Raw genomic sequence first — 26,069 nt, 5'->3', positions numbered from 1 at the left:
CAGCTAGGCTGCTTCCAGATTCCTGACCCTCAGAAACTGTGATGGTTTTTATTGTTTTTTTTTTTTTTTTGGAGGCAGAGTCTCACTCTGTCACCCAGGCTAGAGTGCAGGGTCACAATCTTGGCTCACTGCAACCTCCGCCTCCCGGGCTCAACCGATTCTCTTGCCTCAGCCTCCCAAGTAGCTGGGACTACAGGTGTGCCACCATGCCCAGCTAATTTTTTGTATTTTTAGTAGAGACGTGGTTTCACCATGTTGGCCAGGCTGGTCTCAAACACCTGACCTCAGGTGATCTGCCCGCCTTGCCTCTCAAAGTGCTGGGATTACAGGTGTGAGCCACCACACCCAGCTCAGAAACTGTGATGTTTTAAGTGGCTAAGTTTGGGGTAATTTGTTATCCAGCACTAGAGAATGTCCAGTTTATTTTTTCTTTGGTGGAAGTCATACTGCCCTGGTGTCTGGTTATTTTGGTGGTGAACTTACATGCCCCTGAAATTATCCGCTCTCCTGGCTGATAGAACGTACTGAGGAAAGGCTGAAGGCCTGACTCGAGTCAGCTTAATGACCTGGAGCTCCAGGGGTAAAAGGATGTGTGGGAGAGGAGCCAGAGGCTGGACAGCCACAGGTACCACAGAAGCACAGTTATCCCGCTCACCTGCCCTTTGGACACCTGACAATCCCCCTAGCGTGGGGTTCATCTTTAAACCGTCGGAGGAAAACCGCTTTAAGAGGTGCCAGTTTTGGCTGGGTGCGGTGGCTCACGCCTGTAATTCCAGCACTTTGGGAGGCCGAGGCGGGTGGATCACCTGAGGTCGGGAGTTTGAGACCAGCCTGACCAACAAGGTGAAACCCCGTCTCTACTAAAATACAAAATTAACCAGGCATGGTGGCAGGCACCTGTAGTCCCAGCTACTCAGGAGGCTGAGACAGGAGAATTCCTTGAACCCGGGAGGCGGAGGTTGCAGTGAGCTGAGATCGCGCCACTGCACTCCAGCCTGGGTGATGGAGCAAGACTCTGTCTCAAAAAAAAAAAAAAAAAGAGGTGGCAGTCTCCTTAGGTGTAATCCACCAGCCCGGGTGTCTGGAGGGAGACAGGTGGAGGACTGATTTCCTCTGGCTGCCTATTTCTTTCCCCTGCAGGGCCCTTGCTGCCCTGATCCTAGTCCCCCAGACATGTGTACCAGTGGTTTGGATGATTAATGCAATGAAGGGGGCAAACAAGGACCTCCCCAAGGCAATATAGGGGAGAGGTGAGAGCCAGAACTTAAATATCTTTTTCCCTAACCTATCCTCTATTTACTGCCTCTGGCCATCCGCCCGTCAAAACACACACCAGTTAAAGACAGCCTTCCATTTCCCCATGGGTCTCTCATTGCTATGTTGCAATTTCTGGAACCCATGTTTCCCTCTCTAGTTTCTCCAGAGTTGGTTTCGGGCAAAGGAATCAGTAGCTTGTGCTGTCTGCCATCTTTGCAGGAACCAGAAACCCCAAGTATCCTAGAGGAATATTAGAGGTTTCTGCCTTTCAGGGTATCTGAGCCTCCTATTCACAGAAAGGACTCTTCTATCTCTCAGAGGTCCCAAACTACTATCCACAGAATTGGCTTGTCTGGTCCTTCAAACACCTGAGCTCATAAATCACAGAATGCATCCCAGAGGGTATTAGCTGTTTACTGACAAAAGAGACATTTCAGGACCTCAGAAGGCCAGACACTCCCATAGGTTGGATGGCCCTTTGGGGAGTCTGAGCCCATTTCCACAAAATGCATTCGTTAGACCCACACACAGTGCTTGAGCCCCCTAGACACAGAATAGTCTTGTCCTGTTCTTCAAGTGACTGGGCTATCATCTGAGGAATAGTCAGCTTCCCCCCAATACTGGGGGTGACGGGAGACTTTTAAGGGTCATCCCCAGGTTTGTATGGCATTCTTGGGGCAAACAGCAGAAGGGATGACTGCCCTGATGCCTCCTCATCTCTGGCAGCATTGCCTAGTGCAACAGCTCTGGCCAGAACCCAGCCTGGTCTACAGCCATACCATCCTGAACATGCCAGATCTTGTCTGACCTCTGAAGCTAAGCAGGGTCAAGCCTGGTTAGTACTTGGGAGAAGCTGGTGTGGCTAGACCGTGACCTGAGGACCCCAGTTATTTCACCCATCCTTTGTGGATGACAGCACCTGGCCTGTGAGAGAATCCCACCCTCTGAGCATGTCAGTGGGAAAAAGGACCTTTTTTTGATCATTATCCTCCAAATAACGAAGTGAATTCTATTAGGGCCTGCGTTTTATCAGTGCTTGTTGTTTGTCCATATTAGTGAGATGGAGAAGGTAAATAAGTGGTTTCTACTGCTGAAATGGTTAAGACAGGTGCTGTGAGCTGGAATCCCAGTTTAGGGCCGCTAGGCATGGGCTAGGCCAGTCTTTCAAACTGGCTCCAAAGCAAGTGACAAGAATAGGAGCCCTAGATCCTTTTGTAATTCAACAATGTGATGATTGGGCTTTCACACTTGTGTGAGATGCACCTCGCTCAAACCTTGTTAACATCTGCACGGTACCTGTCTGAAGTGGAAAACAAAAAGGAGGCCGAGGCCCCTGCCCAGGGCTGCCAGCATTGGTGCATAAACCTCACAGAGAGGCCAAGATCCTAGAAATGGTGACATGTGGAATGCCAGGGGTGGCTGCTCCAACGTTTCTAAGTAGCCCATACTTCCCAATCTCAGTAAAGAATCTTGTCCTTTTTTGAGCCAGGAACTCTCTTATCTCTCATCCAGGGGGCTGTCCTGAAAACATATATTCACAGCCATAATACAGACCCTTACAGGCCGATGGATGTACCAAAAAAACAGACTCAGGCCTTCCTCAAGCAGTGCTCCACCTGGGCTCACCTTTGGGAACTGATTGTCAGCATCCACTCTCCCCATCACAAGGGGGAAGCTGGAGCCTCTCTCCACCAAGTGAAGTATTTCCCCTCCATCAGGTAAAGGGCCCCTGAGGACTCCATCTACAGCAAAACCCAGGGAGGAGGCAGAGAAACACACAAACCACAGTGACCTTCATGTGTGCAAAGTATAGTTGTTAAAAACAAAACAACAGAAACAGAATAAATAGGCGTGGCCTCTGCGGGGCAGTGCCAAAGCAGAGCTCCACATACTTAGGCCTGGGGAGGAAGGGCTCTATGCTCCAACAAGTCTAGGGCTGGCAGGCAGGGAGGGAGGTGGGGTCTCATGTGTTGGCCCTCATGGCAAAGAATGGAGATCTGGTGGGGCCGATGGAGGGCTTGAGAAAGCCTGATCAAGATGCGGCTGTGGCCTCAGCCCCCTCCTCTGAGTCCCACACCTCTGACTGCAGGTAATCAGCAAAGAGAGCCCTAGCCCGGCGCAGGACGCGCCCCAGGTGGTGTTTTCGCACAAGGCGGTCAAAGTGCATGGCCAGCTCATTATAATCCAGCCCATTGCGCATGATGTGGTCGCGGTGCTCCAGCAGGATGGCCAGGCAGAGGAACAGCATGAATGGGTTCCCCCGGCCAAACTCCTGGGGTGGGGGCAGGCCCATTGGTGGTACAGGTGGCAGGGACTTTCCAGGGTCTTTCGGGGAGCCTACCTCTTGCATCAAGGGGGATCCTACAGCCATATCACCAGTGGGAGAGGCCTCCTGGGTGGATGGTGGAGATGAGGAAGATGGGGAATCAGGGTGGGAAAAGGAGGAGAGCAGTGGGTCTGGGGAGTTCAATAAAGGCTCAGAGAGGGACTTGGAGCTGATAAGGGCAGCTGGGTGGGGCAGCTGGACCAGAGGGTCCCTCCTGGAGCCCATGTTATCCCTGAGTTGCTGGAGGCCATCCAAGCTGGCCTGTCTCAGGAGACGCCCCCCACCACCAGGCCCCTGACTGGCTGTGGCCAGGTGGTCAACAGCATCTTCAAAGGTACTACCTCCTCCACCAGCAGGCCTCAGCATGTGCCTCTGTCGCACGGGCCACCCCCTGTGGCCACCAAAACCAGCGTCTGCCACTTGGCTGGGGGGTCCAACCAGCTCTACCTCATGTTCAGGAGGATCAGGGGGCAGCGAACTCCAAGTGACCTCAAGCATGCGGAGGGCATCGTCGAAGGCGAACTCACGCTTGAGTTCCAGCAGCAGCCAGCGGTAACAGAAGAAGAGGTCATCAGCGCCTGCCTCTTGCAGGTATTGATAAAAGTCAGGGTCAGCGTGTCGCAGCAACAGCTTCAAGTGTGCAAACTTGGTGGCCATGGCGCGGCCGTCAGGGTGGAAGTTGGCGGCCAGGCGTTTCATGATGCCACAAAAGCAAACAAAGGCATGGCCCTCATGGTCCATGACAGCGAGGATGGGTGAGGCAAGGTCACTCATGCCCTGGCAGTAGGACACCTGTGGGTGGGTAACGGCATAGGTGGTGAGCAGGTCGTGCAGCGCCCGTAGATGTGGGCCATCCTCAGGCCCCGCATAGTAGGGGTGGGCCCGGTCAGTGCGCAGTACATCCTTGAGGACCGTGCTGCGGATGAATTCCAGGTCCTCAGGGTTCGCTCGCTGGGCCCACTCGCTCTTGAGCTGCTCATACTCGCGGCTCTTGCGTTTCATGTAGTCCATCCGCTCTCGGCCTGTCAGTCCATCTGGATACACGTTCAGCAGGTACCGCCACACCACCTGCCCAGGGGTGAAAGGGATGAGGCTGGAGTTCTCCAGATAAACCATACCCCAATGTCTATCAGTTGCCACCCACCCACCCCCCTTGGGCCTCTGTCTTCCTTCTAAGTCTGCTAGGCCTCCGACTGCTCGCCCCTCCTTAAAGAGAACTTCGTGCCCTGTAACATCTCCACCCTTGCCCACAGCAGTGTGGCTGACTGCATGTGTCTCAGGAGCTGTTAATGAGTGCAGCAGTGATGGACCCAACAGATGACTGAGGATGCTCACCTTTCGCAGCGAGGGCTCCACACCGCCATGATAGATCCGCAGGCGCAACTCCTCGGGTCGGGAGAGCTGGCCCTCGTGGTTCAGGTACGTGTGAAACTCAGCATCGCTCAGGGGTGGCTTGAAGGGCTTGACATCTTCCCCATACGACCAGCTCAGCACTTGTTGGACCTTAGACAAGGTACGGCCCACCTATGAGGAGGGAGGGAGGCCACCATCAGCTGTGTGGACTAGGGGCAGATGCCAACCAGCATGCTCAGAACCAGGGTGCCAGGAAGGCTCTGCCCTCCAACCACAGCTGGGTCCCTAGGGTCCCTGAAAACACCTGAGTGAGGATGGACTGTGTAAAGGGCAGGGCGGCAGTCGTCAGTGATGACCGTTTCTCAGCCAGCAACACGTCGGAGCCAATGACATCTTTGGGGCTGATTATGTCCCAGTCTTCTAGCAATGGGCCTGGGCAAACAGAACAAAGTGCTATAAGAATGGGGATGATAACCCAGACCTCAGGGCCGGCTTCCTCTCCTTCTACTGAAGCCGGGCTACCTGCAGGGGAACAAACAACTCCCAGTCCCTCTTCCTGTATCATCCAAATCATGTAAAAAACAAAATCAAACCATGAACAATTCTTTTGTAGTAGATGTCTCAGGAACTGGCTGGGCAGCCTCTAATATTTTAATGATATAAAGTAATATTTATTGAGCAGTTACTATGTGCCAAGCACTAGGACAAGCGCTCAACAGCAATATAAGAAATAATAATACTAGCTAATGCTTCCACAGTGCTGTATGCCAGGAACTATTCTGAATTCTTTGCCAATACTGACTCATGCAATAGTCACTTCAGTCCTATCGGTTGAGTACTACTACTACCATGACTCTCTTTGAGGAAACAGGCACAGTCATGATAAGGTACTTGCCCAAGGCCCCTTAGCTAGTGAGTGAAAGAGTGGAAATTTGAAGGCCAGGCCCAAGCTCAAGAGCCCAAACTCCTACTCTCATATTTTTGCCAGTCCTCCTCCCACAAACAGTGCACGCTAATATTACCATTCTCATTTTACAGACGATGACAAAAAGGTTTGGAACAAATAGTAAGTGACCAAGATTCTACAGCCAGGAAATAGTAGGGCTGGGATCTGAACTTCATTCACCCTAGTCCAGAGCCCAGACATACTTTAGAAATAAAATATTTGTGCAAAAGTGGAACAGGTATGCCGTATATGCTTTTTTTTTTTTTTTTTTGGAGACGGAGTCTCACTCTGTAACCGAGGGTGGAATGCAGTGGTGTGAACGTAGCTCACTGCAAACTCTGCCTCCTGGTTTCAAGTGATTCTCCTGCCTCAGCCTCCCGAGTAGCTGGGATTACAGGTGCCTGCCACCATGCCCAGCTAATTTTTGTATTTTTAGTAGAGACGGAGTTTCACCATGTTGGTCAGGCTGGTCTTGAACTCCTGACCTCACGTGATCCACTCGCCTTGGCCTACCCAAAGTGCTGGGATTATAGGCGTGAGCCACTGCACCCAGCCTCTTTTTTCTTTTTTTTTTGAGATGGAGTCTCACTCTGTCGCCCAGGCTGGAGTGCAGTGGTGCAATCTTGGCTCACTACAAACTCCACCTTTTGGGTTCAAGCAGTTCTCCTGCCTAAGCCTCCCAAGTAGCTGGGATTACAGGTGCCTGCCACCAGGTCCAGCTAATTTTTTTTTTTTTTTTGAGGCGGAGTTTCACTCTTGTTGCCCAGGCTGGAGTACAATGACGGGATCTCGGCTCACTGCAACATCCACCTCCTGGGTTCAAGTGATTCTCCTGCCTCAGCCTCCCGAGTAGCTGGGAGTACAAGCATGTACCACCATGCCTGGTGAATTTTATATTTTTAGTAGAGACGGGGTGTCTCCATGTTGGTCAGGCTGGTCTCGAACTCCCGACCTCAGGTGATCCACCTGCCTCGGCCTCCCAAGGTACTGGGATTACAGGCATGAGCCACCACACCTGGCCTAATTTTTGTATTTTTAGTAGAGATGAGGTTTCGCTATGTTGCCCAGGCCGGTCTCGAACTCCTGACCTCAGGTGATCAGCCCGCCTTGGCCTCCCAAAGTGCTAGGATTACAGGCATCTTTTTTTTCTTTTTTTGAGACAGTCTTGCTCTGTCCCCCAAGGCTGGAGTGCAGTGGTGCGATCATAGCTCACTGCAGCCTCAAACTCCTGGGCTCAAACGATCCTCTTGCCTCAACCTCCTGAGTAGCTGGGGCTTACAGGCGTGTGCCACCATGCGTGGATGATTTTTTTTTTTTTTGGTAGAGATGGGATCTTACTATATTGCCTATGGTCTTGAACTCCTGGGCTCAAGAGATCCTCCTGCCTTGGCCTCCCAAAGTGTTGGGATTACAGGTGTGAGCCACTGCACCTGACCGTTTCTCTTTCTTTTTCATTTTGCCCCGCATTCTTTCTTCCCACCTCACATAAGATGTGGTGGTTGAAGCAGCAGTGGCCATCTGAGAGTAGGTTCGAGAGGATCTTCAGAGATCCTCTCCTACAGCCCTGATACGAGAGGGCTACTAAGCCAACAATGGCAATGTCCAGTGGCTGGCTTTTTTTTTTTTTTTTTTTTTTGAGACGGAGTCTTGTTCTGTCACCCACACTGGCGTGCAATGGTGTGATCCTCGCTCACTGCAACCTCTGCCTCCCAGGTTCAACCAATTCTCCTGCCACAGCCTCCCGAGTAGCTGGGATTACAGGTGCCTGCCACCACGCCTGGCTAATTTTTTGTATTTTTAGTAGAGATGGGGTTTGCCAGGCTGGTCTCCAACTCCTGACCTCAGGTGATCCACCCGCCTTATGTGGGGAAAAGAAAGAGAGATCAGATTGTTACTGTGTCTATGCAGAAAAGGAAGATGTAAGAAACTCCATTTTGATCTGTACTAAGAAAAATTGTTCTGGTTTGAGATGCTGTTAATCTGTATGTAACTTTAGCCCCAACCATGTGCTCACAGAAACGTGCTGTATTGAATCAAGGTTTAATGGATTTAGGGCTATGCAGGATGTGCCTTGTTAACAATATGTTTGCAGGCAGTATGCTTGGTAAAAGTCATCGCCATTCTCCATTCTCTATTAACCAGGGACAAAATGCACTGTGGAAAGCCACAGGGAACTCTGCCCAAGAAAGCCTGGGTATTGTCCAAAGTTTCCCCTCACTGAGACAGCCTGATATATGGCCTCGTGGGAAAGGAAAGACCTTACATCCCCCAGCCCGACACGCATAAAGGGTCTATGCTGAGGAGGAGTAGTGAAAGAGGGAGTCCTCTTTGCAGTTGAGATAAGAGGAAGGCTTCTGTCTCCTGCTTGTCCCTGGGAATGGAATGTCTCGGTGTAAAGCCGACCATTCGTTCTATTCTGAGATAGGAGAAAATTGCCCCGTGGCTGGAGGCGAGATATGCTGGCAGCAATACTGCTCTGTTACTCTTTGCTACACTGAGATATTTGTGTAAAGTGAAACATAAATCTAGCCTACATGCACATCCAGGCACAGTACCTTTCCTTGAACTTATTCATGATACAGATTCCTTTGCTCACATGTTTCCCTACTGACCTTCTCCCCACCAACACTCTGTTGCCCTGCCACACTCCCCTTGCCAAGATAGTAAAAATAGTGATCAATAAATACTGAGGGAACTCAGAGACCGGCGCTGGTGCAGGTCCTCGCATGCTGAGTGTGCCGGTACCCTGGGCCCACTGTTCTTTCTCTATACTTTGTCTCTGTGTCTTATTTCTTTTCTCAATCTCTCGTCTCCACCTAACGAGAAATACCCACAAGTGTGGAGGGGCAGGCCCCCTTCACCTTGGCCTCCCAAAGTGCTGGGATTACAGGCGTGAGCCACTGCATCCGGCCCAAGTGGCTAACTTTCAAACTCTTTTGTGTGAAACCAATCAACTTCTATCTGTTTAAGCCACTGTCATTTGCAAGCAAATGCCATCCCTAAACAGCATTCCCATGGAGCCCAATTTTCCCATAGAGCTGAGGGGGGGAACAAACCCTAGGCCATGTTTGCATGTCACTGCTTTTCCCTGGATGTCTCATGGGGTACTGCAAACCTAAGGGGTCCAAAGAGAGGAGCCCAAGATCCACTCTAGACATGGCCTCCTCCTCTACTCCTCATCTCAACAAACAGCATCTCTATCTGTTCAGTTGTTTAATAGACCAGAAACCTGAGAGACATCCTTGTCCCCCTCCCACTCTCTTAACTCCCAGGTCCAAACCACCGCCAAGTCCTACGGCTACTGCATGTAAAGCATTCCTCCATCCTACCTGTTCTCTCATCTCCATCTTCTCACCCTGTCTGAGCCACCATATCTCTCACCTGAAACTGCCTCCTAACCAGTCCTCACTTCCTCTGTATTCCTCTCCAATCTCTCCCAACAGCTGCCAGAATGGTCTTTCTAAAACATTAATCAGAGCATTAAAACACTTAACAGGTAAAATGAAGAAGGTCACATTATGAAAAATCAGTAATGGTCTGAAAGTCTGAACAGAAGAACCACTGCAAGGCATGGAGCTAAGGTTCAATGATTTGAGTGAAAAAGTAGAGAGACCTGGATGCCAAGTCCAGGAGACCAAATATGGAAATAATAGGAAATGCAGGGGGAGAAAAGGGATCAGGTGGAGATGTCAGAATTAAACAAGTATGAAAGAAAATTTCCCTGAGATGAAGGAATGGCTCACCAAGTCTTAGATAGGATTAATTAACTAACAACACACAACAGGCCCCCCACCAACCCTATCCTTTTTTTTTTTTTTTTTTTGAGATGGAGTCTTGCTCTGTCACCCAGACTGGAGCACAATGGTATGATCTCGGCTCACTGCAACCTCCGCCTCCTGGGTTCAAGCCATTCTCCTGCCTCAGCCTCCCAAGTAGCTGGGATTCCAGGGGCATACCACCACGCCCGGCTAATTTTTGCTAATTTTTGTATTTTTAGTAAAGACAGGGTTTTGCCACATTGGCCAGGCTGGTCTTGAACTCCTGAGTTCAAGTGATCCGCCTGCCTCAGCTTCCCAAAGTGCTGGGATTACAGGCGTGAGCCACTGCGCCCAGCCCGAAATGCCCAAATTCTAAGAATAAAGAAAAACTCTTAGACTGGGCGCAATGGCTCATGCCTGTAATCCCAGCAATTTTTTTTTTTTGAGGCAGAGTCTTGCTCTGTTGCCCAGGCTGGAGCGCAGTGGCGTGATCTTGGCTCACTGCAACCTCCGCCTCCCGGGTTCAAGCGATTCTCCTGTCTCAGCCTCCCAAGTAGCTAGGACTACAGGTGTGCGCCACAACACCTGGCAAATTTTTGTATTTTTAGTAGAGACGGGGTTTCACCATGTTGGCCAGGCTGGTCTCGAACTCCTGAGTTCAAGTGATCCGCCTACCTCGGTCTCCCAAAGTGCTGGGATTACAGGCATGAGCCACCATGCCCAGCCTAATCCCAGCACTTTGGGAGGCCAAGGCGGGCGGATTGCTTGAGCCCGAGAGTTCAAAACCAGCCTGGGCTGAACATGATAAAACCCTGTCTCTACCCAAAAATATAAAAATTAGCTGGGCATGGTGGCGCACACCTGTAGTCCCTGCCACTCGGGAGGCTGAGGTGGGTGGGAGGATCGCTTGAACCTGGGAAGCAGAGGTTGCAGTGAGCTGAGATCACGTCACTGCACTCCCGCCTGGGAAATAGAGATCCTGCCTCAAAAAAAAAAAAAAAAAAAAAAGAAAAAGAAAAACTCTTGCAGCTTCCAGAGACAAAAAACGGCTGCTTACAATGGAAAGAAGGTCAGACAAGCAACAGACTTCTGCTTCACAACCCTGGAGGCAATAAGACAGTAGCTCACAGCACCTATGGAGCACTAAGAAGAAAGACCTGAGATCCAAGGGCCCCACACCCAGCCAAGACAGTACAGATCTATTCAGCCAAATAAAAACATTTTTGGCCATTAGAGTACATCTAACCCATGCACTTTTGGAGGAGAACAAAGAAGTTCTCTGAGCAAATGACTCCTGCATGACTAGAAGGGCTTAAGATAGGGAGAGACAAAGGGGAAGGTAAATGGTAATATTTATATATTATATATTATATTATATATATTACATATTTAATATTTATAGTTAAAATGACAACGATAACATGATTGGGGGTTTGTAATATTATATGTTACATTAGGATTCCTGAAACATAAGTGACTTAGTGTGTTAGTAAGAAAACAGAATGATAACCCGGAATTTAAAAAGAAAAAAAATTGGCTGGGTGTGGTGGCTCATGCCTGTAATCCCAGCACTTTGGGAAGCCGAGGCAGGCAAATCACTTGAGGTCAGGAGTTCAAGACCAGCCTGGCCAACATGGTGAAACCCCATCTCTACCAAATATAAAAAAACTAGCCGGGTGTGGTGGTGCGCTTCTGTTACCCCAGCTACTCAAGAGGCTGAGGCAGGAGAATTGCTTGAACCTGGGAAGAGGAGGTTGCGGTAAGCTGAGATTGTGCCATAGCACTCCAGCCTGGGCAACAGAGCAAGACTCCATCTCAAAAAAAAAAAAAAGTTGTCTAAGCAAAAGCTAGAAGTTAAGGGTTAGGGACCAGAAAACGAATAAGAATTACAAGTGTTCCAAAGCTCCATTTTAAAGGCCAGAAAAAGTGGGAGAGATTAAAGGAGAAAAAGTGGCCTAAAGATTTCACTGTTGGGGCGGGGTGCAGTGACTCACGACTATAATCCCAGCACTTTGGGAGGCCGAGGCAGGCAGATCATGAGGTCAGGAGATCGAGACCATCCTGGCTAACACGGTGAAACCCCGTCTCTACTAAAAATACAAAAAATTAGCCAGGTGTGATGGTGAGCGCCTGTAATCCCAGCTACTCGGGAGGCTGAGGGAGAATTGCTTGAACCCAGGATGCAGAGGTTGCAGCGAGCCAAGATTGTGCCACTGCACTCCAGTCTGGGCGACAGAGCGAAACTCCATCTCAAAAAAAAAAAAAAAAAAATTAGCCGGGCATGATGGTGTGTGCCTGTAATCCCAGCTACTCGGGAGGCTGAGGGAGGAGAATTGCTTGAACCCAGGATGCAGAGGTTGCAGCGAGCTGAGATCGTGCCACTGCACTCCAGTCTGGGCGACAGAGCGAGACTACGTGTCAAAAAGAAAAAAAAAAGATTTCACTGTCAGTTGCCTTAAAAAGCATAAATTCTGCTATGACGTTTTTACGAGAGGTATGAGAGACATACCTAAAACTAGGTGACACAAAAAGGTTAAAAATTAAAGAATCCTAAAGGTATATCTGGTAAACACAAACAGAAAAAAATAGTAGCCATGAGAATGTCAGAAAAAGCATCACTCAAGGCCAAAAGCATTTAACACAAAGAGACATTTTATACTGATTAAAAAAACCACCCCCTCAATCCCACTAATAAAACAGGCAGAGGCCAGGCGCGGTGGCTCACGTCTGTAATCCCAGCACTTTGGGAGGCTGAGGTGGGCGGATCACAAGGTTGAGACCAGCCTGGCCAACATGGTGAAACCCCATCTCTACTAAAAAATACAAAAAAAAATTAGCCAGGTGTGGTGGCAGGTGCCTGTAATCCCAGCTGCTTGGGAGGCTGAGGTAAGGAGAATCGCTTGAACCTGGGAGGCAGGGGTTACAGTGAGCTGAGATCGCGCCACTGCACTCCAGCCTGGGCAACAATGTGAGACTCCCTCTCAAAAAAAGGAAAAAAAAGGCCGGGCGCAGTGGCTCACACCTGTAATCCCAGCACTTTGAGAAGCAAGGCGGGCGGATCACAAGGTCAAGAGATCGAGACCGTCCTGGCCAACATGGTGAAACCCCGTCTCTACTAAAAATACAAAAATTAGCTGGGCGTGGTGGCGCGTGCCTGTAATCTCAGCTACTCAAGAGGCTGAGGCAGGAGAATCGCTTGAACCTGGGAGGCAGAGGTTGCAGTGAGCCGGAATTGTGCCACTGCACTCCAGCCTGGCAACAGAGTGTCTCAAAAAAACAAACAAACAAACAAACAAAAAACAGGCAAAGAATGTCTACAAACACAAACTCACCTAGTAGCAAAACCTGATCTGAACTGACAGGAGACTATATATAGTCTTTATATAACCCACGTAGTGTGAATATGCACACATTTCCCTGAAGAAACATCCAAGTGTTTCATTGTGGGCTGCTTGGCTGCTGGCCCAGACCCTGCTTGTGGTATTACATAATATTCATGATACGCGCATTTCCTTATCATAAAATTGTCAAACTTCCCAAACCCTAAATTAATATATAAACTCAGTGCAATGCCAGTCAGAAATTGAATGGGGGTTTTTCCTGGAACCGGATAAAATTATCTTAAGGTTTCTATAGAAGAATTCACATTTAAGAATAGCTAAGACAGGCTGGGCGCGGTGGCTCATGCCTGTAATCTCAGCACTTTGGGAGGCCGAGGTGGGTGGATCACGAGGTCAGGAGATCGAGATCATCCTAGCTAACACGGTGAAACCCTGCCTCTACTAAAAATACAAAACATTAGCCGGGCGTGGTGGCGAGCGCCTGTGGTCCCAGCTACTTGGGAGACTGAGGCAGGAGAATGGCGTGAACCCAGGAGGTGGAGCTTGCAGTGAGCCAAGATTGTGCCACTGCACTCCAGCCTGGGCGACAGAGCAAGACTCCATCTCCAAAAAAAAAAAAAAAGTTAAGACAAAGAACAGTGGGAGGATGGCAAAAGCTTATCGCCTGTAGTCCCAGCTACTAGGGAGGCTGAGGCAGGAGAATGGCGTGAACCCGGGAGGCGGAGCTTGCAGTGAGTTGAGATTGCGCCACTGCACTCCAGCCTGGGCGACAGAGCGAGACTCCATCTCAAAAAAAAAAAAAAATTTGACCACAAAACCACTGTCATAAAAATAACATGGTGTTAGCACAGCAGTAGACAAATAGAGCCCATTGGTAGAATGCAATAGAAAGCCCAGAAATAAATCCAAGCTTGTATATATGGAAACTGAATATGTGACAAACGTGGCATTTCGAATCACTGCAGAAAAGGTGATTATTTAATAAATGATGCTGGCAGGCCGGGCGCAGTGGCTCATGCCTGTAATCTCAGCACTTTGGGAGGCTGAAGTGGGTGGATCACCTGAGGTCATAAGTTCGACACCAACCTGGCCAACATGGCAAAACCTCATCTCTACTAAAAATACAAAAATTAGCTAGGCATGGTGGCGGGCACCTGTAATCCCAGCTATTTGGGAGGCTGAGTCAGGAGAATTGCTTGAACCCAGGAGACGGCGGCTGCAGTGAGCTGAGATTGTGCAACTGCACTCCTGCCTGGGCGATAAGAGTAAAACTTCGTCTCAAAAAAAAAAATTAAATTAAAAAAAATGATGCTGGCATAATTGACTATCTTGATTTTTTTAAAGCTAGGTCTGCTTATCACAATGCTGACAGAGAAAAGATTTATATGTAAAAAAGAAAACAATAAGCATAGTAGAAGAAAATATAGAATATTTGTATAAGCTTATGGATGGGGAACATGTTCCAAAGTAATAGGAGAAACTCAGCCAGGCACAGTGGCTCATGCCTGTAATCCCACCACTTTGGGAGGCCCAGGCAGGTGGATCACTTGAGATCAGGAATTCGATACCAGCCTGACCAACATGGTGAAACTCCATCTCTACTAAAAATACAAAAGTAGCCAGGTGTAGTGGCACATGCCTGTAATCCCAGCTACTTGGGAGGCTGAGGCAGGAGAATCACTTGAACCCAGGAGGCGGAGGTTGCAGTGAGCCGAGATCGCGCCATCGCACTCCAGCCTGGGCAATGAGAGTGAAACTCTGTCCCTCCACCTGCAATAAAAAGGAGAAACTCAGAAATCATAAAGAAAAAGATAGATATCTGTGTAGGCGTGCAATCAAATGTTTAATTTTGATAGGACAAAACAGATCCATCCCGTAAGCAAAGCCAAAAAACAAAAGATCAACTGGGAAAAATATTTGCAGTACCTATGATAGAAAGGAGGTTGGGGGCTGGGCACGGTGGCTCCCGCCTGTAATCCAAACACTTTGAGAGGCCGAGGTGGGTGGATCACTTGAGGTCAGAAGTTCGAGACCAGCCTGGCCAACATGGCAAAACCATGTCTCTACAAAAAATACAAAAATTAGCTGGGCATGGTGGTGCACACCTGTAGTCCCAGCTACTTGAAAGCCTGAGGCAGGAGGAGAGCTTGAGGTCAAGGCTGCAGTGGGCCATATTTGCGTCACTGCATTCCAGCCTTGGTGACAAAGAGAGTCTCAAAAAGAAAAAAGATTCATATCGGAAAAGTACAAATTGGTCAAAGGTCTAGGCTTTGTAATCTCCCAACTGTAGAGGTGACAGAAACTGGCTTTTTCCCAGAAAGAGGGACTGGGCCATCCAAACAGTCCCAACATGTCTGTTGCTTTCACAGCCATGAAAATGATCATGAGAATGCCATTAATATGTCTAATGATAGCTCCATATATTGGACACTTACATATTAATGTGTAGAATACCTTATGTTAAACACATACCGTTTATGTGTACAGACACGCAAATATGAATATACTCACATATGTGGATAAATGTGTGTGTAGGGAGTGTAAATAAGTAAAGGACATGCAAAGTTACACATCAAACCGATTCCCTCGGGGCAAAAAGGGTAGGGTAGGGGATTGAGATTAGGCATAGCGTTCCCAGGAGACTTCAGCATTATTTAAAATGCTTTTATTTTTAATAAGAATGTATTTACTGGGTAATGAAAGATTAGTTTCTCTTAAAAATATGACTCCAATCAAATTCCCGTCAGGATTTTAATGGAATAATAAGCTGATTTATTAAATAAAAAGAACAGTAAGTGAACAAGAATATTCAAGAAAATTTTTTAAAAAGGAAAACATGAAAACATATCATAAAACTATAATGATTAAGGCTGGGTGCGGTGGCTCTTGCTTGTAATCCCAGCACTTTGGGAGGCTGAGGCGGGCAGACTGCTTGAGTCCAGGAGTTCAAGACCAGCCTGGGCAACACGGCGAAACCCTGTCTCTACAAAAAATACAAAAATTAGCTGGGCATGGGGGCATGTGCCTATAGGCCCAGCTACTCAGGAGGCTGACGTGGGACAATTGCTTGAGCCTGGGAGGTGGAGGCTGCAGTGAGCTGAGATTGGGCCACTGCACTCCAGCAAGGATGACAGAGTGAGACCCTGTCTCAAAAAAAAAACAAAAAAAAAACCCTCAAAACCAAACAAACAAACAGAAAACAAACTACTACAATGATTAAAACAACATAGAATTGGCTTATAATTTAATAAATAGATCAACGTAAGAGAATCAGGAATTCAGAAACAGACCGATGTTGTGCAGGAATTTGGTAAATAAGACAGAGGGCTTTTTTTTTTTTTTTTTTGAGATGGAGTCTAGTTCTGTCACTCAGGCTGGAGTGCGGTGGCACGAGCTCGGATCATTGCAACCTCCGCCTCCCAGGCTCAAGCAATTCTCCTGCCTCAGTCTCCCGAGTAGCTGGGATTACAGGCGCCTACCACCACGCCCGGCTAATTTCTGTATTTTTAGTAGAGACAGGGTTTCGCCATGTTTGGCCAGGCTGGTCTCGAACTCCTGACCTCAGGTGATCCACCCGCCTCGGCCTCCCAAAGTGCTGGGATTACAGGCGTGAGCCACGGCGCCTGGCCTAAAAAGATAACCTTTTAAAGATGTATTCCTGCCAGACTACTGGGTGTCTTTCTGTCTGTCTCTCTGCTTTACTGGCATTCGTCCCAGTTCTCATGCACTTGGGGTTTTCTCCACATGTTTCGTAGCCATGCAGATTTGATTTTTTTCCTGAAATAGTGCTACTGTGTCTCTTTAACAGGTGAGGAAAACAAGGCCCAGGGAATTAAGTGACTGACATAAGCACATATGGCTACTCAGTGGCAGAGGTTCCTGTGTGTCTGGCTACCTGGCTTTTCCTATTTGGCTTCCTGCCCATCTCTGTCACTATCTTTCCCTCTGACTCTTGTTTCTCTCTCTCCTCTGTCTCTCTTTTGCAAAGCTGCCAATTTTAACAAGTCCAAAATGTTGTAGAGTTAAATGGTTAAGAACAAGGACTCTGGAGCCAGTTCAGCCACTGCCTGAGTTCAAATCTTGCTCTTCAACTTACTGTCTGTATAACTGGGACGAGTCCTGTCACCTCTCTGAGCCTCAGTTTCCTCATCTATAATATGGGGAAAATGATTGTCCCTACTCTATAGGATTATTTTGACAATTCAGTGAAAAAATATTATGTGCACAGAATGGCCCTAAGTGTTCACTACACATTAGCTAGTTATATGTTATTATGACATCAATAAAGTGCTCGACTCATCCCAAATGGGCACATGAGTTTCCTGAGGCTGGGAACCACATCTTCCACTCCACAACTATTTAAAACAATTTTGAACCTACAATAAAGTTAAAAGAATACACTGAACACCCATACATACTTCATCTAGATCCTCTATTAACATTTTTTTGGGCCACATTTGCTTTATCTCACTCTCTCTGTATATAAACACATTATTTTTGCCAACTTATTTGCAGACATCATGACATTTTACCCCTTCATACTTAACTGTGTCTTTCCCAAGAACAAGGATATTTTCCTTCAATAGATATGATACCACTACCACACTGCTATGGTTTGAATGTGTCCTTCCAAATTCATGTGTTGCAATTTAATTACCAATGTGATCATATTAAGAGGTGGGGGCCTTTAAGAGGTGATTAAGTCCTGAGGGTAGAGCTCTCACAGATGGGATTAGGGCTCTTTTTTTATTTTTTATTTTATTTATTTTTTGAGATGGAGTCTTGCTCTGTTGCCCAGGCTGGAGTGCAGTGGTGCGATCTTGGCTCACTGCAAGCTCCGCCTCCCGGGTTCATGCCATTCTCCTGCCTCAGCCTCCCGAGTAGCTGGGACTACAGGCACCCGCCACCACGCCCGGCTATTTTTTTGTATTTTTAGTAAAGACAGGGTTTCACCGTGTTAGCCAGGGTGGTCTCGATCTCCTGACCTTGTGATCTGCCCGCCTCGGCCTCCTAAACTGCTGGGATTACAGGCGTGAGCCACCGTGCTCAGCCTCTTTTTTTTTTTTTTTTTGAGATGAAGTCTCGCTCTGTCACCCAGGCTGGAGTGCAGTGGCAAGATCTTGGCTCACTGCAACCTCTGCTTTTCGGGTTCAAGCGATTCTCATGCCTCAGCCTCCCGAGTAGCTGGGATTATAGGCATGTGCCACTACACCCGGCTAATTTTTGTATTTTTTTTAGTAGAGACAGGGTTTCACCATGTTGGCCAGGATGGTCTCGAACTCCTGACTTCAGGTGATCCGCCTGCCTCAGCCTCCCAAAGTGCTGGGACTACAGGCATGAGCCACCGTGCCCAGCGGATTTGGGCTCTTATAAAGAGGTTGAGGGTGTGGGTTCACTCTCTTCTGCTCTTCTGTCATGTGAGGATGCAGCAAGAAAGCCCTCACTAGACACACAACCTGCCAGCACCTTGATCTTGGACTTCCCAGTCTCCAAAACTGTGAGAAATAAATTTCTCTTCTTTACAAATTCCTCAGTCTGTGGTATTCTGTTATAGTAGCACAAAACGACTAAGACACACACCCAGGAAATTTAATACTGATACAATTATCTAATGTATGGTCTGTAATCAAATTTTGAGACCACGTCCTAATTTATCTGTGTGCTCGCAGGGACCAGAATAGGCAAGAGTGGAAGAACAAAGATGAGAAGAGAAAAAGTGGCTGAGAGGTCAAGGGAACAAATGAATGAGTGAGCAAGAATACAAACAAATGAATATGGGTGCAGAATGACTGAATGAATAAACACAACTAGCATTATTATAATACGCATTGTTATATTTAGGTATTATAACTGAAATACATAATGCTAAAGCTATACCGTTATACTATATTATAAATCTGCATTATATCTAATTATTACATACATTACTCGGTTATATGTTATAATAGTATAATACAATATAATTATCATTATTAGAGATAACACTTTCTGAGCCTTCATTATGCAGTCATGCACTGTTCCAGGCATTTTATATGAATTTCCCCTCACAATGGTTCTAAGATACAAGGCCTCACAATGGTTCTAAGATACAATTATCTCTTTACAAGTGAAGAAATTGTGGCCTAGTGGCTGAGCCAGGATCTATAGCTAGGATACCTTGCTACCCATCCCACCATGAGGGAGTGTACTGTGAGGGGTAGCATCACCCTATGGGGTAAAGGGGTTCCAGAGCAGTGCTCCTGGGGGCACTGAGTACTCACTGTCCTCCGAGGGCCGAATATCTACACGCAATTGCAGGTAAGGTTTGGAGGCAGTGGCAAAGGCTGTGCTGAGGTCCCAGTCAGATAGAAGTGAGAGGTAAACTTCCTGTCCTAGCCGGTCCCGGCCCAGGTAGCTGATGCCAAAGTTCTTCTTCCTGGACAGGGGATACGAGGGAGCTCTCAGGGCCCCTGGTGCCCTGGAGGCCTCAGGGACAGTTTCCAAAACAAGGAGGGTAATATAGAAGGCGTTGAAAACAACTTCCTACTATGTGCAAGGTACTGTGCCAAGGATTATGGGCAGCCTGAGATCAGGTCATTTATACCCACTTTGTTACACAAACACATACAAGCAGGTACACACCTGCTTGTATCTGGAGGTCACATTGGAAACTGGTAAAATGTTGGCCGGGTGCAGTGGCTCACGCCTATAATCTCCGCACTTTGGGAGGCCGAGGTGGGTGGATCACCTGAGGTCAGGAGTTTGAGACTAGCCTGGTCAACATGGTGAAACCCCTTCTGTACTAAAAATACAAAAAAAATTAGCTGGGTGTGGTGGCAGGTGCCTGTAATCCCAGCTACTCAGGAGGCTGAGGCAGGAGAATCGCTTGAACCTGGGAGGTGGAGGTTGCAGTGAGCCAAGATTGTGGCATTGCACTCCAACCTGGGTGACAGAGCAAGACTCCATCTCAAAAAAAAAAAAAAAAGTTGGTCCCCTCTGGGGTAGATGTGGGACAGAAGTGGGAAGAAAGCAGCCTTCTTACTACATAAAAAAAAAGCAATCTGTGTTTGTTATTTTTCACAACAAAAATGTTTATGTAAGAAAGTCTAATAACAACTAAGAATTTTTCAGCTATACTTGTGCAACTATGTAAAGAAGTTTGTTGCGTGATGCTCATCATAACCATGGAAACATCCTAAATACCCAACAATTGTGTACTGTTTGAATTTCTTACCATGTGTATGTATTCCTCCAAAATCACAACAAAATGACTATCACATCTGCCCCCAAGAGACACCACTTTTCAGCTATCAGATTGGCAAATTTTGCAGTTTTACAGTAACCAATGTTTGCGAGGGTGTGAGGGAAACAGGCATTTATGTGCTGCTGATGAGATCATAAATTCGTTTTTTTTTTTTTTTGAGACGGAGTCTCACTCTGTCGCCCAGTCTGGAGTGCAATGGTGCGATCTCGGCTCGCTGCAAGCTCCGCCTCCCGGGCCCATGCCATTCTCCTGCCTCAGCCTCCCAAGTAGCTGGGACTACAGGCGCCCACCACCACGCCTGGAGAATTTTTTGTATTTTTAGTAGAGACGGAGTTTCACCGTGTTAGCCAGGATGGTCTTGATCTCCTGACCTCGTGATCCACCTGCCTCAGCCTCCCAAAGTGCTGGGATTACAGGCATGAGCCACAGCGCCCGGCTGAGATCATAAATTGATAAAACCTGTCTGGAGAGCATTTTGGAAACACCCATTAATAGTTCAAAAAGCAGGCCAGGTGCGGTGGCTCATGCCTGTAATCCCAGCACTTTGGGAGGCTGAGGCGGGTGGATCACGAGGTCAGGAGATCGAGACGATCCTGGCCAACACGGTGAAACCCCATCTCTACTAAAAATACAAAAATTAGCCGGGCATGGTGGCGCACGCCTGTAGTACCAGCTACTCAGGAGGCCGAGGCAGGAGAATTGCTTGAACTCAGGAGGTGGAGGTTGCAATGAGACGAGATCACACCACTGCACTCCAGCCTGGACGACAGAATGAGACTGTCTCAAAAAAAAAATTTTTTTTAAAGCAAATACCCTTTTACCTGGCAATACCACTGCTAGGAATTTATCCTATGACTAGATGTTTCCAAATACAGTAGTCCCTCTTTATCTACAGGGGATACATTCCAAGACCCCCCCGAGTGGATGCCTGAAACTGCAGATAGTACCAAGCCCTATATATACTATGTTTTTTTTCATATACATACATACCTATGATAAGGTTTAATTGATAAATTAGGCACAGTAAGAGATTAACAATAATAGAACAATTATGACAATACAGATGCTTCTTGACTTATGACAGGGTTATGTACCAATAAACTCATCGTAAGTTGGAAATACTGTAAGTTGACAATGCATTTGGCTGGGCGCAGTGGCTCACCTGTAATCCCAGCACTTTGAGAGGCTGAGGCGGGCGGATTGCTTGAGCTCAGGAGTTTGAGACTGCCCTGGGCAACATGGCGAAACCCTGTCTCTACTAAAGATACAAAAAATTGGCCGGGTGCGGAGGCTCACGTGCCTGTAATCCTAACACTTTGGGAGGCCGAGGTGGGCGGATCACTTGAGATCAGGAGTTTGAGACCAGCCTGACCAACCTCATGAAAATTAGCTGAGTGTGGTGGTGCACACCTGTAATCCCAGCTACTCTGGAGGCTGAGGCATGAGAATCACTTGAACCCGGGAGGCAAAGGCTGCAATGAGCCAACATCGGACCACTGCACTCCAACCTAAGTGACAGAGTGAGACTCTGTCTCCAAAAAAAAAAAAAAGAGAAGATCAAAAAACTATCTGGGACTGGGTGCGGGGGCTTACACCTGTAATCCTAGCACTTTGGGAGGCCGAGGTGGACAGGTAACTTGAGGTCAGGTGTTCGAGACTAGCCTGACCAACATGGTGAAACCTTGTCTCTAATAAAAATACAAAAATTAGCAGGCGTGGTGGTGCGTGCCTGTAATCCCAGCTACTTGGGAGGCTGAGGCAGGAGAATCACTTGAACCCGGGAAGCGGAGGTTGCAGTGAGCTGAGACTGCGCCACTGCACTGCAGCCCGGGGGACAAGAGCAAAACTCCGTCTCAAAAAAAAAAAAAAAAAAAATTATCCGGGCATAGTGGTGCATGCCTGTAGTCCCAGCTACTTGGGAGGCTGTGACAGGAGAATCACTTGAACCTGGGAGATGTCACTGCACTGCAGCCTGGGTGACAGTTAGACTCCATCTCAAAAAAAAAAAAAAAAAGAAATAAAAAGGAAAATGCATTTAACACATTTATCCTACCAAACATCACAGGTTAGCCTAGCCTACCTTAAACGTGCTCAGAACGCTCACATTAGCCTACAGTTGGGAAAATCATCTAACACAGAGTCTGTTTTACAACAGTGTTGAATATTTCATGTAATTTATTGAACACTGTACTGAAAGTGAAAAGCAGAATCGCTGGGCACTTGCAGTACAGTTTCTACCAAATGCGTATCGCTTTTGCACCATTGTAAAGTTGAAAAATCCTAAGTCCAGTTATTGTAAGTTGGGGACTGTCTGTAAACTGTAATAAAAGTAATATGAATGTGGTCTCTCTCTCTCTCTCAAAATATCTTATTGTATGTAATATTTGCAGACTGAGGTTGACCATGGGTAACTGAAACTGCAGAAAGCAAAACCACAGACAAAAGTAGACTACTGTGCTCCAAGACATGCATACGTGGCTGTTCACTGTGGGATTATTTGTAGTAGTAAAATAAACAAAAACCCTACCAAACAAAGGCCAGATAGCCACTGTAGAGGTCGGTGGCCCACTGGCCAGTCCCCAGCATCTTCCCACTCACCCACTCAAATCAAAGGCTCGGATGAGGATGTGCTGCAACACGTCGAGCGAGGTGATCTGGGGATCTACAGCAAAAGAGCGGAACTCTGGCGGCAAGAAGCTCTCACATTTCTGGGGAGAGAAGACATGGGGTAGGCCACCAGGGGCCCCATCACCATGCTGAAGAGTGAGGTGCAGAGTGGTAGAAGGCAAAGTCAGAGAGGTGCCAGGGGCCAGATCAAGGCAGGTGTTCTGGACCACAGGGTCCAGTGAGGAGGAGGCTACTGCAAGAGTTCAGGCCCCCAATCCTTCTTCTATATCCCTTCAACTATGGTTGCCAGAATCACCGTGTCCAGTCTGGCTCCTGTTAAATCAGTCCTCTATGGTGCTGTAACCAATCTAACACATCTACCTACAACACTCCCCTGCTTCAATCTCTTCAATGGCAACCCTAGAGTCCCAGCAAGCGGGCCTATGGGGCCCCAGCCAGCCTCTCACCAGGTTTTTTGAACTTTACACTCTAGTAGTACCAAACTGTTAGAAGTTACCTTGAAACCATCCTGACTCCAGGCCATTGATTGTGCTGATCCCCTGTCTGGAACATCCCTCCCACTTTCTTCACGTGGTTCACGCCCAGCTCAGGCATCATCTTTTTTCTGAATGTCAAACTTCTACCTTAGAGCTCTATTACACTGAAGTGATGTGTGGACCCTCTTATCACTGCCAGTGCCACTGGTTGGTCGGAGCCACCATCATTGTTTACTGGAACTATGGCAACAGCGTTCTTCCTCAGCATACACACCAAAGGCCCTTGGCGATCTGTCTCTGTCTTAGCGCTCTGATTCACCTCCTACCACTCTTCCCCTCATTCTCTCCACTCCAGCAATCAGGAACCTACGGGAACATGCCAGGCTCATTCCCATCCTCTAGTCTTTGCCCTTGCTATTCCTTCTGCCTAGAATACTCTTCCCTTCTAATATGCACATGGCTGACTCCTTTTATTCGGGTCTCTGCTCCTTCAATACCTCCTCTGGGGATTTCCCTGTACAACCTTGGCTAACGTGACTCCCTATTTCATAACCTTTTTCATTATTTTAGTGTCCGAAGCATCTCATTTCTTTAGTTGTCTCCACCCACGAGCCTGTCAGCTCATCAAAGTGGGAACTTGCACATAAGTGCACTCTCAACACATGGGTTGACTGACTCCAGAGCCAGCACCTTCTCATTCCTCAGAGCCCCACCCTCAACTACTGCGGCCCCTCCTCCAGCCCCATAGCCCCTCCCCTTTGTCTATAAGCTCCACCCATTCATCCCATAGACCCCCGCCTCGTCCCTCTATTTTCAGTCCCACGCCCCAAGGTACGTCGCTAACGCTCTCAGGCTCTCAGGCCCTCCCTACCCCTCGCCATCATCACTTGGCCCTCAAGCTTCGCCGCTCAGGTTATGTCCGAAATCTCAGGTCCCGCCCTCCATCCTATGACAGCCACCGCCTCCCCCTCCCCTGGGATGCCTCGGCGGCTGGGCCGACTCACCGCCAGCCTCACCTTGACTCGGACCCGCACCACCTCTCGCTCCTCCTCCTCAGCGGCCGCCGCCGCCTGAGCTCCCACACCGGGCGGGGGCGCTCCGGAGCCAGACAAGTCCGAGGCCCCGGAGGCTGTTGCCATCCCGCCGCCGCCCGTCTCAGGGTGACGGCTGACCGTTGCCCCCCACCCCGGCGCACACTCTACTGTACTGACGCCCGCCGCCCCACCTCGTGCCGGGGCGCAGGCGCAGAGGGCGCCGCGCGACCCTACCCCCCACCGTCCCTCCCACCTGGCCCTGCCTGGAGGTCGCCTCTGCGCCTGCGCCTAGAGTGCTGTTGCCAGGAGCCCCGCCCCCAAAAGTCGGGCATTTTGCTCTATTTCAGCTAGCGTGCAGACGCCTACTGAGGCCCCGCCTCCCCCAGCCCCGTGGTTTGGTTGTTTTGACAGCATACTTCCGGATTCACGGAGGTGTTAAACTGACGCCTCGTTCGCCAAGAGAAGGGGGCGGGGAAAGGAAGAGGCTGCGTGATGACGTCAGGCCCACACCCCGCCTCAAGTTGCCTCACGCCTCTGCTGGCAGATGATGTCATCTATTTCAAATACCAGTGGCCCTCGCTTCAAATGAATCCACTGAACAGAAAAAAATCCTTTTTTTTTTTATTTTTTTAGGCAGGGTCTCGCTCTGTCATCCAGGTTGGAGTGCAATGGCGCGATCACAGCTCACTGTAGCCTCAAAGTGAGCTATGATCAAGCGATCCTCCTGCCTCAGCCTCCCAAGAGCTGGGACTACAGGCGCGTGCTACCACGCCCAGCCAATTTTTGTATATCTTGTATAAACAGGGTTTAGCTGTGTTGCCCAGGCTAGTCTCGAACTCCTGACCTCAAGTGATCCACCCGTCTCGGCCTCTCAAAGTGTTGGGATTACAGGTGTGAGCCACAGCCCTCGGGTAAAGTGTTTTTAAAAATATACTCAGCAGGGTGCAGTGGCTCACGCCTTATAATCTCAGCACTTTGGGAGGCCGAGGCGGGCTGATCGCTTGAGCCCAGGAGTTCTAGACCAGCCTGGGCAACACAGCGAGACCCCGTCTCTAACAAAAAATTAAACAATTAGCTGGACGTGGTGGCGCACACCTGCAGTCCCAGCTACTCGGGAGGCTGAAGCGGCAGGATGGCTGAGCCCAGGAAGTCAAGGCTGCAGTGAGCGGTGATCACACCACTGCCCTAACCTGCACCACAGAGCAAGGCCCTGTTTCAAAAAAAATTAATAATTTATACCCTGACTTAGTAAGGTCAGATAAAACAGGAAAATGGTTTACACATTGTGAAAATTCATGGAGATTTTGTACACTGATGATTTTTGTACTTCCTGTATGAATGTTATACTTCATTAAATAATTTGCCCCCAAAAAACACTATTATGCTCTCTGGAGTTCTAGCTTTTTAGTTTGCCTTTGTCTGAAACTTGACGAGATCATACTTTCCCAAGTTTACACATCTAGGAGGCAAATTTCCAGGTAATTCAACTCCAGGAAGGACACTAATGCTTCTAATTGAAACCCAGGAAGAAGTTAACAATCAAGCCTTCAGAAGGCAGAAAGCGAGACAGACCCAGGGAGCTCAGCAGCATATCTCTAAAGCTCTGCCATTATTGAACCAGCTCAAAGGATCCCCGGTCTTTGTGTCCCTTTTCCAAGTTTCACATTCTCAGATCTTGGGGAATCACTGAATCACTGGAAAAGCCCT

The 26,069-nt window shown here is 48.3% G+C and overlaps 1 protein-coding gene across 14 annotated transcripts, besides 4 other annotated features; it reads right to left on the bottom strand.

The window, feature by feature from the left end:
* On the bottom strand, positions 1,656-24,551 carry TBC1D25 (TBC1 domain family member 25). Of its 14 annotated transcripts, NR_145499.2 has the most exons (7): positions 24,345-24,551; positions 22,752-22,932; positions 19,242-19,396; positions 14,621-14,751; positions 5,241-5,368; positions 4,919-5,107; positions 1,656-4,651 (listed from the first exon to the last, which is right to left on the bottom strand). NR_145499.2 is itself a non-coding variant. In NM_001348265.2 (6 exons), exons 2-6 carry the CDS (start codon positions 22,808-22,810, stop codon positions 3,290-3,292), a joined length of 1,893 nt encoding a protein of 630 aa, NP_001335194.1. In that variant the 5' UTR covers positions 22,811-22,932; positions 24,333-24,551; the 3' UTR covers positions 1,656-3,289. The 14 variants fall into 14 exon arrangements, 5 of the variants coding, with proteins under 5 accessions (NP_001335194.1, NP_001335192.1, NP_001335191.1 ...); NM_001348265.2 differs by lacking the exon at positions 14,621-14,751 and having other exon boundaries at positions 24,333-24,551; NM_001348263.2 differs by lacking the exon at positions 14,621-14,751 and having other exon boundaries at positions 22,823-22,932; positions 24,333-24,551.
* Positions 23,896-24,396: an enhancer, noted in NCBI's record as "H3K27ac hESC enhancer chrX:48398257-48398757 (GRCh37/hg19 assembly coordinates)". NCBI's record gives its function as "activates a minimal SCP1, AML or CMV promoter by ChIP-STARR-seq in naive H9 embryonic stem cells {active_cell/tissue: H9 hESC(naive)}" and the evidence as "EXISTENCE:reporter gene assay evidence [ECO:0000049][PMID:30033119]".
* Positions 24,391-24,610: a silencer, noted in NCBI's record as "silent region_20818". NCBI's record gives its function as "represses an Ori minimal core promoter by ATAC-STARR-seq in GM12878 lymphoblastoid cells {active_cell/tissue: GM12878}" and the evidence as "EXISTENCE:reporter gene assay evidence [ECO:0000049][PMID:35858748]".
* Positions 24,391-24,897: a biological region, named in NCBI's record as "H3K27ac hESC enhancer GRCh37_chrX:48397756-48398256".
* Positions 24,397-24,897: an enhancer, noted in NCBI's record as "H3K27ac hESC enhancer chrX:48397756-48398256 (GRCh37/hg19 assembly coordinates)". NCBI's record gives its function as "activates a minimal SCP1, AML or CMV promoter by ChIP-STARR-seq in naive H9 embryonic stem cells {active_cell/tissue: H9 hESC(naive)}" and the evidence as "EXISTENCE:reporter gene assay evidence [ECO:0000049][PMID:30033119]".

The sequence above is a fragment of the Homo sapiens genome, chromosome X (assembly GCF_000001405.40).
Source record: "Homo sapiens chromosome X, GRCh38.p14 Primary Assembly".
Classification (NCBI taxonomy): Eukaryota; Metazoa; Chordata; class Mammalia; order Primates; family Hominidae; genus Homo; species Homo sapiens.
This window is presented reverse-complemented; position numbering and strand designations above follow the sequence as displayed.

What these genes read in the sequence shown, in the direction of transcription:
- TBC1D25 (NM_001348262.2), bottom strand. Translation starts at nt 24,467, where the DNA reads ATGGCAACAGCCTCCGGGGCCTCGGACTTGTCTGGCTCCGGAGCGCCC. An exon ending in CGAGCCTTTGATTTGAGTGG is followed by an intron (nt 19,397 to 22,822) that starts GTGAGTGGGAAG and finishes TCCCCTGTCCAG; the next exon opens with GAAGAAGAACTTTGGCATCA. An exon ending in TGGAGCCCTCGCTGCGAAAG is followed by an intron (nt 4,652 to 4,918) that starts GTGAGCATCCTC and finishes ACCCCTGGGCAG; the next exon opens with GTGGTGTGGCGGTACCTGCT.